The sequence below is a fragment of the Homo sapiens genome, chromosome 5 (assembly GCF_000001405.40).
Source record: "Homo sapiens chromosome 5, GRCh38.p14 Primary Assembly".
NCBI lineage: Eukaryota > Metazoa > Chordata > Mammalia > Primates > Hominidae > Homo > Homo sapiens.
The window spans coordinates 151,853,782-151,866,579 of NC_000005.10; the positions used below are offsets into that span (position 1 = coordinate 151,853,782).

At 43.9% G+C, this 12,798-nt stretch overlaps 1 protein-coding gene across 4 annotated transcripts in view; it reads right to left on the minus strand.

Annotated features, from left to right (window-relative positions):
* GLRA1 (glycine receptor alpha 1) overlaps positions 1-12,798 on the minus strand; it is a 102,339-nt gene that overhangs the window by 31,269 nt on the left and 58,272 nt on the right. For all 4 annotated transcript variants that reach the window (NM_001292000.2, NM_000171.4, NM_001146040.2 and 1 more), the window contains 3 exons: positions 6,004-6,227; positions 2,520-2,602; positions 1,259-1,396 (listed from right to left, as the gene is read on the minus strand). In NM_001292000.2, coding sequence (NP_001278929.1) covers positions 1,259-1,396; positions 2,520-2,602; positions 6,004-6,227 — 445 coding nt within the window. The remainder of the gene's footprint in view (positions 1-1,258; positions 1,397-2,519; positions 2,603-6,003; positions 6,228-12,798) is intronic.

Consider the following 12,798-nt stretch of genomic DNA (forward strand, 5'->3'; position numbering starts at 1 on the left):
AATCTAAGATTAGGAAGATTTGTCCTCATGTCTTCTAGAAGTTTTATCATTTTAGCTTAATCTTAAATTTAGGTCTTTAAGAGGGTAGATCTTAAAGTGTTCTTACTAGACACACACACATACACACACACACAATGAGAAGTATGTGAGTTGATGGATATGTTACTTAGCTTGAGTGTGGTAATTATTTCACAATGCATATGTATATCAGAACATCACGTTGCATACCTTCGATATATGCAATTGTTATTGGTCAGTTATACCTTAAGAAAGCTAAAAAGAAAAGAAAATGCTGTATAAAGAGTAAAAGACTTGGTATGTGAGGGTCAGTTGTGGTGATTTGACTTGGGAGTCATTGCTTTCATGGCTGCTATGGGAATACCATTATGGCTCAAGGAACAAAGAGAGTATCTTTGGAGGTTCTGAAACATCTCTGAGGTGACTCAGAAAGAGGCAGCTACCCAAGACAGACTGCAGCCCAGGCTGCCTGTACCTTCACTGGGCTTTCTACTTACACCAGAGCCTACGATGGTTTCTCTCAATCTCTCTCTTTCACCTCCTCCTCTTGCTGGCTTGCCATGCCTCTCTACTCTGTGCATCTGGGTTCAGACCCCAGCTTCCTACCCATCCTTCCAGCTGTTATACCAATTGACTGACTTTCTTCTTCCATGCTTTTATGAGCTTGTTCTCAGCCTGAGACAGGATACGCAAAGCCAGTCTTGATCTGGCCCCAGTCATCCAGATATTCAATCTTCCAACAAAAGCATGGGAAATAGAGAGCTAAGCTACACCATCGTGGCTTCTCTGACCTCTCATAGCTCACAGGCAAGTGAACCCTTTCTAGCTATTTACTAACCTTCAGTGACACCTCTCAGCTCCCTCTTGCTGAGGTCTATTGTGAGCATTCTCTCTACTTTTGCTCTATTGGAAATGCCAGTTCATCTGTGACAGAGACTACTAGGTGTCTTCCCAATATCAGTTCTTTACTTCTGCCTTAGAAATAGGATCCATTCTGCTACCTGGAATAATGACTGTATTTACCAGCTTCCCTCGTAATTAGGTATGGCCCAAGCTTAAGTTACTCACTCCAGGACTCACAGGAAGAAAATGTCAGAGCCACATTTTTGTTTCAAAACCTATTCTCTTAACCACTAGGTAATCTTCATAAGATCTGTTGGATCAATGATTGAATGTGTCTGAAATGACCTCTGGTCCTGGTTGGGGGGTGGGATCTGAGGAGGGTGGCCCTTGTACCTACCTGTGTTGTAGTGCTTGGTGCAGTATCTCAAGTCCTTCTCTTCCTTCAAGATAAACTGGGGCAGAGTTAGTCCATCTGCTACCTGCACGGCTCCCTGTTCCTGCCACTCAAAGATGAGGTCATTCATCGTATATCCAACTGGGATGGGATCAGAAGAAGGAGCAGTCACCACTCAGAAGCACTTGTTTGAAGCATGTCAGGATTGGTTAGGGTTAGAGACTGAGAGAGACATCAGACACTTGATGGAACTTGTGAGACCAGGTTCCTTTTTTTTCCTCTCAAAAGAGGTAAAAAACTGGTTAATTATTTATATCTACATCAGAGCCCTTCCACCTCTCTTCCCAACCTTCTGCATTAGTTTGTCCTATTGTTCCCCCTCTCACTCCCATGGTGAAATGCAGTGGACATCTGCTATTTTCACCTGCACACCATCCTTGCCAGCCTCCTCTTTTGCTCACAGCAGATACTCCTCTGTGGAACAACTCTATTGCACGCTCTCTTGGTGGGACTAACCACTGGCTGGGGTAGACGGGGGAAAGTGTGAAAAGGTGACTCAAGCTAGGCCAGACTGTGCCCCAGCACTTCAGCAACTATTGAGTGAAGTAACAAGAGGTTCAGAATTGGTTTGTGCTGATTCCCCTCACGGGTAGTGCTCCAAGGAAATGGTCCATTAGTTCCTGTTGCCTAAGTGCTCTGCCTTGGTTTCTGTATTTTTAAGTTAGTCAGATTGGTTTCTCTGTTTGCAATCAAAGGAGTCTGCTATCCAATCTGTTAAAATCCCAGTCCTCCATAAAGTCTACTCCAATAACCTCTTTCCTTCTCCATTAGAAGGAAGCACGCTTTCTGCCACGAGGCCACAGTGCTTTGTACTTCTAACAACACACCAATCACTTGCCGCCCTTTAGTAGAGTTATTTGTGCAGTCAGTTGTTTACCTCCCCTGCTGGAGTGAACATCTTGTGGGTTCAAGGACCATGACTTATTCAAGCCATTTCTCCTCCGTTCACATTTACCATAGACATGGAACAATGACCCTTTGGAGAATGCTGCTGGCTCCAAAACATGGGCCTCAGTTAGGCAATGTAAGGGAAGTTATATTTCTAATGCATTTTCTAAAAGCAAAGTCCTTCATTGAATATTTTGGGTTATTACAGTAATCTCCTGGGGTCTAGTGGTTAGGAGCAGCTGTGTGGGAATTTCTGCCTATCCCATGGGTAAAAAGGAGCCTGGTTCTTTCTAGAGGACTCATGCAAGACACTCACAGCTTTCCAGTTGCATGATACATGTCTGGACATCCATGGGGAAATTCTTCAAGTCCATGGGGCAGGCCAGTGTCAGGGTGATTCTGGGAAGAGAAGGGATTTTGAATGATGCAGGATCTGCACATCAGGGAGGCTGTGCCTCTATTCTAGTTATTGTTAGAAAATCAGTTGCCCAGGATAGGGAAAGAAGGTCAGGGAACTTGTGTTTGTTTTTTTGTTTATTTATTTATTTTTGAGAGATGAGATCTCTCTTTGTGGCCCAGGCTGGAGCGCAATGATGCAATAATGGCTCACTGCAGTCTTGACTTTCTGGGCTCAAGCAATTCTCCTGCCTCAGCCTCCAGAGTAGATGTGACCATAGGCATCTGCCACCATGCCTGCTAATTTTTAAATTTTTTTTTGTAGAGACCGGGGTCTCGCCATGTTGCCCAGGCTAGTCTCGAACTCCCAGGCTCAAGCAGTCCTCCCACATCAGTCTCCAAAAGTGCTGGGATTACAGGCATGAGCCACCATGCCCGGCCGTGACATGATTTTCATATATAGAAAGCCCTGCAAATTACATACACACACATACAAACTGTTAACACAAATAAAGGAATTTAGCAAAACTGAAGGATAAAAAATCCACAAGGAGTTCTGGCAGGAAGCATGGTGGGAAGCAGAGTGCAGTCAGCTGCTTTGGGGACCTGCAGGCCCTCTGGCCTTGGAGGTGCAGATGAGCTGGGGGCCCGGGCCTGGCGGCAGGCTCTGTCCTCCAGGCTCCCAAAGGCCTTGCTGTGGCTCCCACCAGCTGGGCCCAGGCCTGAAGCAGCGACAAACCTCTTTTCCCACCCCACCTCAGTGACCTGGTGGCCATCTGGTCTCCCAGCCAACTTTGCCCAGCCTAGACAAAGCCCCCGATGGCTGCTGGGATGCAGCACCTTTGGGTGGCGGTGGGTGTGGACAACTCATGTTTATTAAATAATTATGTGTGTATTTCCAAGTTCCTGATTGAAAAATGGAGGTTTAGAGAGGTAAAAATAGGTTGCCTCAAGTGACACAGTCAGGGAACTTCTGGGTTTTTTGGAGTCTTTCTGGCCTCTGGAGACCTGTCTTTAGCAAGTTGCCTGGAGGCCAGGGGCTGCCCCTGTTCCTTACTCTTCTGCATAGCCCTCAGGTAGGGACAGAGCTCAAATTTTAAGTTGAGCAGCACCCATGTGCACCTGCAGCAGGTGTTGCAAGTGGTTCTTGGCTACCTTCTTCACACACAGGGCTCATCAAAGGTTATTTCAAAGAGGCCCTCTGCCTTCTGGGTGTCCAGACACAGTTGACTACATCAGTAGGCTCATGCTGGGGTCGACTGGAAAGGGGTGGGCTCCTCAGGATTCTGGGCTAGCTGTTTATTTTGGTTGTTCAACCCTGACAGAGGCCACAGACTCAGAACCAGAGGGAGTCCTCTCAACAGAATTTGAGGCCTGCAGCTCAAGCTGGAATACAAGACTCCAGCTTGAAAGGCTTTTCCAACATCTGAGTGCCTGCTGCAGGGGATGGAGAAGAAAGGCTTTCAGAGCCCAAAGAGCCTTAGATCATCAAGGCAACTCCCTCATGTGACAGGTGAGAAACCCAGGGTGCAGAGAGGGATAGGTTGAGAGTCATCTAAAGTCACACAGCAAGCTGATACATCAGCCAGGATTCAAAACCATGTGTCCTGGCCTTTGGATTCTGAGTCCCATGGTGGGGTTGACTCAGGTGTTTGCTGGCAGCACTGCTCTCCTGCAAAGCCAACCCCAATACCCTAAGATACCTAATTGGTGGTGTTCTAGTGGACCTGAACTGGCACTTTGGCTGCATGTGATGAGGTACACAGCCCTTTGTGAACTTCCTTCCTCCAGCTCACACCCACAGCTCTGGATGTGGGCCCCTTTAAGCACAAGGTTGAAGCAAAAGGGGAAAAATGGAAGGGAGAGGCTGAGGAAGAAGAGGCAAAAGAAGGGAGTGGAAGGAGGGAAAAAGTGAAGAGAAAGTGAATGCAGTTGAATTTCTGCAGATAAAAGCTCCAAAGTGGGGCAGCTGTCACACTGGGTTAATTTCCTGAAGTCGAATGACCTTGGAAATGTCACTTTCTGCTGGTTTGTCCTATCATGCTGTACCAGGACTTAGCTTCCTAGAGATAGGAAATTAGTCTGGCAGCAGCAAAATCCAAGCAGGCTGACCTTACCATCCCCGCAGCCAGCTGGGCCTGGATGGCCATTTCCTAAGCCTGTCACTCTTCCAGTCTGGATGTTTACTTGAGGGGATGGGAAGGTGGGCTCCTGAGCGAGGAAGGCCATGTAAGCCTCGGGTTCCTCCAAGCCTGCTCTTGATGATGAGGTTCCTAAGCTCCCTCCCCTACCCAGCCTGCTTTCAGGAAAGACCGAGTTCAGTCAAACCTGAGGGTTAGGATCTGTACAGCCTCTCCCACAGGCCTGGACAGTTAAGGCTCATCACCCAAAGGAAAAAAAAAACGTGTTTCCCTGAAGGACTGGAGCAGGAGGAGAAGACATTTAGGACCAGCGCCCTTTTTTAAGCTCTTTGAAATAAAAACATATTCATATATTGATCAAATATTTGAGTGCCTATTGAATGCCATGCACTGCTATAGGACTTTGAGAGGGCATCAGATTCACACTAATATAGATTAGAATCTAGGCTCTGCTACTAACAAACTGGAAACTTTGGCAGGTTACTTAAATTTTTCTGATTCTCATTTGTCTAATCTGAAAAATGGGCCTGGTAAAACCTGCTTCATGGGGTTATTAGGAGGGCTGGATATAACACATGAAAAGTACCTGGCATAGTTAGTGAATTCTCATGAATGGTAGCTGTTATTATTACATGTGTAAGGACATTTTTTCACCTCTTGGACATTGGTCATTTTCCTTATGCCTTAGGAGAGGAGATCAGGGACTTGGTGTGGAGGGGTGGCAGTAGACTCTGAAGGCTTTGCCCCTAGCCAATATCTCAAGGATACTCCACATCTGGAGAAGGAAATCTAAACCCCTAGACCCAGTGCAAAGTTTGGGGGATAGATTTTATAGAAGGGAGTATCCCTGGCCTTGACCGTGAGCAACACCATCCACCTGGCAGGCTCATTTACTTTGAAGTTGCTGTGATTTTCTAGGCTTTATGCCTTAGTTCCTGCTATTATTGGTAATCATGCTTGAATACTCTTTCCTATCTTGTTTGATTGAAATGCTGAGTAACTTCAACCCCACTTTCTCTAGGATGGCTTTCTTAGTCTCCTTGGTTATAATAAATCATTGGCTCCTGAATAAAATGCCCCATTGTATTTTATTCTTACTTGCCGAGTATAAGTTACAGAGCTGGGTCTACCTATTCTGCAAAGGTGTTGGGTTGCCAGGGCCTGTTCACCTCTGTTTGGCCCCTCTTTTAGAGTCTATGCCCAGAAGGTAGTGGGGCAAGACATGTTCTGAGCAGGGAGTGGGTGAACCTGGTCAGAACTCACCTGATGCTGTAGAGGACATTCCCATTCCGGGAGATCCTTAGCAATTTGTTGTCTGTGGTGATCTCATGGAAGTGGGCCCCCTTCTCGTTGGCAAAGAACAGGTCAGGTTTCCAGATGGAGTCCAGCATGGATGGGTCCAGGTCCAGAGAGTCGTCAGGGTATTCATTATAGGCCAGGCGGGGGTCGTTCCATTGCTGCCGCAGGAAGATGTTGACCCTATAGTCCTACAGCCAGGAAATAACAAGGTGAAGGCAATGTTAGGCCCAAGGACATCAACTTTTGGAGGACCTGGGTGCTTTTGGCCAGTAAAACCTTTTCTGGAGGATGTTATTAAGTGTGGTTGCATCTTATATGGGGGTGAGACATAAAAGGTGTGTATCAGGCAAAACCATGGGAGTCATAATTACTCCTGAAAATCCTCTAAATGCCCCATGAGGTATATTCAACCCTGAACTGAGATTATGTAAATGTTATTCTTTATTTTGAAAAAAATTAAACTAAAGAAAAATTCAAAGATGGATGTAATGAACACTTGTTTTCATCATCCTGTTAATATTTTGTCATGTTTGCTTCATTTTTTTTAAATAAGAGAAAAAATACATTGCAGATAAATTGAAGTCCCCCTTTTACCCTCAACCCCAATACTACAGTACTTCTTAGGCACACTAAGATTTGAGAGTCACTGGTCTAGACAAATTGAAGGAATGAAAGGAAAAAATCAAAGCTGATGTCTGAGCATTCAAACTATTCTGCCTAAAGAGAACAATTAATTCTCAAGAAGTGAAGGAGGGATGGGCGGAAGAATTCTGTAGTGTTCCTGCTGGTCCTAGGGTTCATCCCATTCGCTTTTAATACCAGCCTTCTATAACTTACTGTGACATATGTTGATTTGTTTGGAAAGGTTTACTAGATGTCATGGAGTCACATCTTACTAGCTTCTTGTTTTTTTTTATTTATTATACTTTAAGTTCTAGGGTACATGTGCACAACGTGCAGGTTTGTTACATATGTATACATGTGCCATGTTGGTGTGCTGCACCCATTAACTCGTCATTTACATTAGGTATATCTCCTAGTGCTATCCCTCCCCTCTCCCCTCACCCCACGACAGGCCCTGGTGTGTGATGTTCCCCTTTCTGTGTCCAAGTGTTCTCATTGTTCAGTTCCCACCTATGAGTGAGAACATGCGGTGTTTGGTTTTTTGTCCTTGCAATAGTTTGCTGAGAATGATGGTTTCCAGCTTTATCCGTGTCCCTATAAAGGACATGCACTCATCCTTTTTTATGGCTGCATAGTATTCCATGGTGTATATGTGCCACATTTTCTTAATCCAGTCTATCATTGATGGACATTTGGGTTGGTTCCAAGTCTTTGCTATTGTGAATAATGCCACAATAAACATACGTGTGCATGTGTCTTTATAGCAGCATGATTTATAATCCTTTGGGTATATACCCAGTAATGGGATGGCTGGGTCAAATGGTATTTCTAGTTCTAGATCCTTGAGGAATCGCCACACTGTCTTCCACAATGGTTGAACTAATTTACAGTCCCACCAACAGTGTAAAAGTGTTCCTATTTCTCCACATCCTCTCCAGCACCTGTTGTTTCCTGACTTTTTATTGATTGTCATTCTAACTGGTGTGAGATGGTATCTCATTGTGGTTTTGATTTGCATTTCTCTGATGGCCAGTGATGATGAGCATTTTTTCATGTGTCTGTTGGCTGCATAAATGTCTTCTTTTGAGAATTGTCTGTTCATATCCTTCACCCACTTTTTGATGGGGTTGTTTGTTTTTTTGCTTGTAAATTTGTTTGAGTTCTTTGTAGATTCTTGATATTAGCCCTTTGTCAGACAAACAGAGAGCCAAATCATGAGTGAACTCCCATTCACAATTGCTTCAAAGAGAATAAAATACCTAGGAATCCAACTTACAAGGGATGTGAAGGACCTCTTCAAGGAGAACTACATACCACTGCTCAACGAAATAAAAGAGGACACAAACAAATGGAAGAACATTCCGTGCTCATGGATAGGAAGAATCAATATCGTGAAAATGACCATACTGCCCAAGGTAATTTATAGATTCAATGCCATTCCCATCAAGCTACCAATGACTTTCTTCAAAGAACTGGAAAAAACTACTTTAATGTTCATATGGAACCAAAGAAGAGCCCACATTGCCAAGTCAATCCTAAGCCAAAAGAACAAAGCTGGAGGCATCACGCTACCTGACTTCAAACTATACTATAAGACGACAGTAACCAAAACAACATTGTACTGGTACCAAAACAGAGATATAGACCAATGGAACAGAACAGAGCCCTCAGAAATAATACCACACATCTACAACCATCTGATCTTTGACAAACCTGAGAAAAACAAGCAATGGGGAAAGGATTCCCTATTTAATAAATGGTGCTGGGAAAACTGGCTAGCCATATATAGAAAGCCGAAACTGGATCCCTTCCTTACACCTTATACAAAAATTAATTCAAGATGGATTAAAGACTTAAATGTTAGACCTAAAACCATTAAAACCCTAGAAGGAAACCTAGGCAATACCATTCAGGCCATAGGCATGGTCAAGGACTTCATGTCTAAAACACCAAAAGCAATGGCAACAAAATTGACAAATGGGATCTAATTAAACTAAAGAGCTTCTGCACAGCAAACGAAACTACCATCAGAGTGAACAGGCAACCTACAGAATGGGAGAAAATTTTTGCAATCTACTAATCTGACATCTTACTAGCTTCTAAACTCAATGCTTAGTTAATGTTTCTCTGATGGTACTGCAGTGTAGTTATTCCACTGAAAGAAAAATTCAGGAGCCAAATCAATTAGGGAAATGTTAGACCGGATGAAATACAATAGGCTTCTTTATTGCAGGACTTCTCAGAGACCTTAATATGCTGATGAGTTGTGTGCATCTCAAGAAGGGAATAGAATATGGTTTATTTTGGCCATGGAATTCTTATATTTGTGCATGGTGAGTATCTTCTATAGAATATAGGTTAGGAATAGCTGTTCTAGTCAAAACTCCATCCCCACCTCCCACATTTTTTTTGTCTAGATAAAGAGACTGAAGTCCAGGGAGAATTGAGACTGGCTCAATGTCACTCTGAAAATGTAGGGCCAGAGCTGATTTTAGAACCCAAGTGTTCTGACTTCTAGCTGAGAGTTTGCTCAGTTGCCTCAGCTGATCCTAGAGGAACTGAAAGAGTCCATTCAGTTTCTATTCACAACGTGAGGAGCTATTATGGTATGGGTAGATCTCAATAGCAGAAAACTGGGTCAGGCAGTTAAGAAATATTTCCATTAAGAAAGTTTTTGGTCAGGAGCGATGGCTCATGCCTGTAATCCCAGCATGTTGGGAGGCCAAGGTGGGAGGATTTCTTGAGCCCAGGAGTTTGAGACTAGCCTGGCCAACATGATGATACCTCATTTCTACCAGAAAGTACAGAAGGTAGCAGGGTGTGATGGCACATGTGATGGCCTGTACAGTAGCCTGTAGTCCCAGCTACTCAGGAGGCTGAGGTAGGAGGATCACCTGAACCCAGGGAGGTCCAGGCTGCAGTGAACCATGATCATGACACTGCACTCCAGCCTGGGTGACAGAGTGAGACCCTGTCACAAACAAATAAACAAAACAAAAAGGAAAGTTTTAAATTTTGTTACAGAGACATTGTAAACCTGGAGTTCATGAATATCATGACACAAGTAGAGTTTAGGGTATATTTGTGTTTCCCAAGCAGGAAGGGCATAGCTCTCTATGTTGGATCTCCCAAAGGGTCTATAGTTCCCCAAATGATTAATATCCTCAGTTCAAGTCCAACTTTAAATGCTTTCCTCCAAGGAATAATCTCCATACATGAGGACCTGCTATTCCCGAGGGTGCTGGATAAATGAGGTCATGCAATATTTTCTTTTGGAATGCTGCTTATAAATCCTCATCAGTCTTGATCTGTTATCAGCAGGGATAAACTAAAACAAACAACCTTCCTCCCCACTCTCACCCTCACCCCTGCTCAATTCCTCCTACAGCTCATGCCTCAGTCTGTTTGCCTATAGAAATATCAATAGCTTCATAAAATGTTCCAAGATATTTTATAGGATTGTTCTATAATTTAATTGCAGCCTCTCCCTCCAGCCCCATAGAAAGTGACATTTGGCCTCATAATCTCACATCTTATAAGTCCCATGGTGGTGGAAGAACTTCAGGCCTGGCCTGAGTGTTGGCTCTTTGTCCTGTTGATGGTAATGGATAACTCCCATTCTGGTCCCATCTGATCAGGGGATTGGAAATAGTCTCTCCTTCTCCTTCTCCCTTGGATTTTGCGTGAAGTGTGCATGTGTGTGTGTGTGTGTGTTATGATGAGGCATTGGGCAAGTCACATCAGAGTGAACAGACTATGAATGGTTGGGCAGAAAAAGCCTTCAGTCCCCAAGCCCCAGCTGCACTTTTGATGTTCTTGCCAGTGACATGTCAAGTCCGTTTATGTGGCTAGCAGGAAGAAAAGAAAGTGGCATTTCTTAAAATGGTCTGTTAGGCAGCAGGCGCCGTTCTAGATACTGTCACATACATTTTATCCTCACAAAATCCCTGCAAGCTAGACATTCAGATTCCCATAGTGAGGGTAAGAAAACAGGTTTGGAAAGGCTGAGAAATGTGTCCCAGGAGCAGGGCCAGTGAGTGGCAGAGCTAGGACTGCAATCAGCATCAGCCTGAGCCTCTAGTGAGCACTTGTGATTTACGTCACATGGTGTGGACAGCCAATCCTGTGTGAGGGACACTTTCCGTCAGCCTCATTGCTCAGGCAAATTCTGCCTTCTCAGCTTAAGGCTTATCTCCTGCAGGAGACTTGATGCCCCAGGCTTCCCTGACCTCTTCCTTTTTGATCTCCTAGCAAGACCGAATCACCTGGAATGTTTAATTGAGCACTTCTTCACTGTGTATGTCTTATGTCCTCAGCTTGATTGGGAGCAATCTTAGTGGATGAACCAGACCTTATATTTTCACTGCACCATCTCACCTAGTCACTCAGTCAGTGCACCTATGAGCTACCTAGTACCTATAAGAAGGAAGAGGAGGTAAAGTCAGAAAAAGCTGGAACAGAATGGACTTTTCTTATTTTATATCTGGAAAGACTGAGACCCAGAGGGGAAAGGTATTTCCTAAGATCACACAACAATTCAGTAAAGAATCTGGAATTAGAACTTGGCTCTGCTTCTCTGAGTCTCACTGTTAAAAGAAGTTAGGCTAGATGGTCTCTAAGAACTTTTCCAAATCTAACAGCTAATTGTTGTTAGTTTTATTTTTTCCAGCAACATTTAACTGAGCTCTCTTAAGTGCCAGATACTATTCTAGGCACTGAGGAATCCACTGAGAACAAGAAAGATATATTTATTCAGCTCCAGAGCCTCCAGTGTAATGTTTACACCATACTGAGGAAAGGGCTCTGATAGGGGTTAAACGCAGGGTGCTAGGGAATATAGAAGACAGGTTCCCATCTGGACTTGGGGGTGGTGATCAGGAAAGTCTCCAGGTAGAAGTGATATTTAAGGTGAGACCAAATACGGTTGAGCCAAAGAGGGAAAGCATTTTGGGCAGTTGGAAGTGCATATGTGAAGGCCTAGAGGTAAAGCAAGAGTGTGGCACTTTGGAAAGAATAGCAAGTGAATGAATAGAGGAGTGGGAGGACACATGCAGGGTCTTGCAAGCTGTACTGAGAAATTTGAACTTTTTCCTAATAATAATGTGGAGCGTTTGAAGAATTTTAAGTAAAGATGGACATTATTACATTTGCATTTTATTACTAATATTTAAAAATGTTTTACTGTTATTTCAGAAGCAATGCAAGTTGTCAGTAAAAAATTTATGTTTTAGACGTACATCATCTAAAAGAAGAAAAACAAAATAAAATCCATCTCTTTGTATTTCATAATGAGTCTCTCATTATGAAATGACTAATGAAAAGTTAGAGCGAGAGACGGAGAATGTACCTTGGTGTCCTCAGGCAGCTTGACTCCTACTGGCAGCGCCTGCCCTAGCAGCCGCTACCCAAACAAGTTGCTGCCATTGATTTCCTCCCTTAAGTTGGCAAACAGCAGTGAGAAATGCAGTTCAGAAGAGATCAATGTAATTGGTGTAATAGGCCGAAAGCTAAAGGCTGTTTTGCTTATTTGGCCATAGCTATACGTATGCTGGTTGGTGTTCGACATGCGGGGGGCCATGTTCAAGTTCAGGGACTGGAGGAGCAGCAATTGAATTCTCCACCCTAGAACCTGAGGTTCCACCTCTGAGAGCTGGCTTCTAGGTCTCAAACTCTCAAGGGTAGCCCACAAACCTGAAGCAGGAGGGATTTCCAGAGCTCTGATTCAACAGTGTTCAGCATCAACTCACCCATCCTGCCTCTCAGATTCCTTGATGATCTAATTTCTGGTAACTGGGCAACTAGCTGCCCTGCTTATGAGACCAAGGTAGAGCATTAACTCATTCATTTGTTCATTCATTCATTCCACAGACATTTATTGAGGGCTTCCTATGCACCACCTGAAGTTGGATCTGTCCCCCACCTCTACCCCCACTGTGCCTCATTTCAGATTCTAACCTCTCCTAATAAACTCCTCTAAACTCAGTATTGTGATGAAGTAGGAAGCATGAAGTGTTTTAGTAGGATAGAACTAAGAGCTTGTGCAAGATTGTTGGTGGGAAGGGTATGTGGAATGCAAGAGGTGGGCCCATTGCAGTCAGAACCAAGAGACATTGCATCAAGAGGTAAACAAAAGAA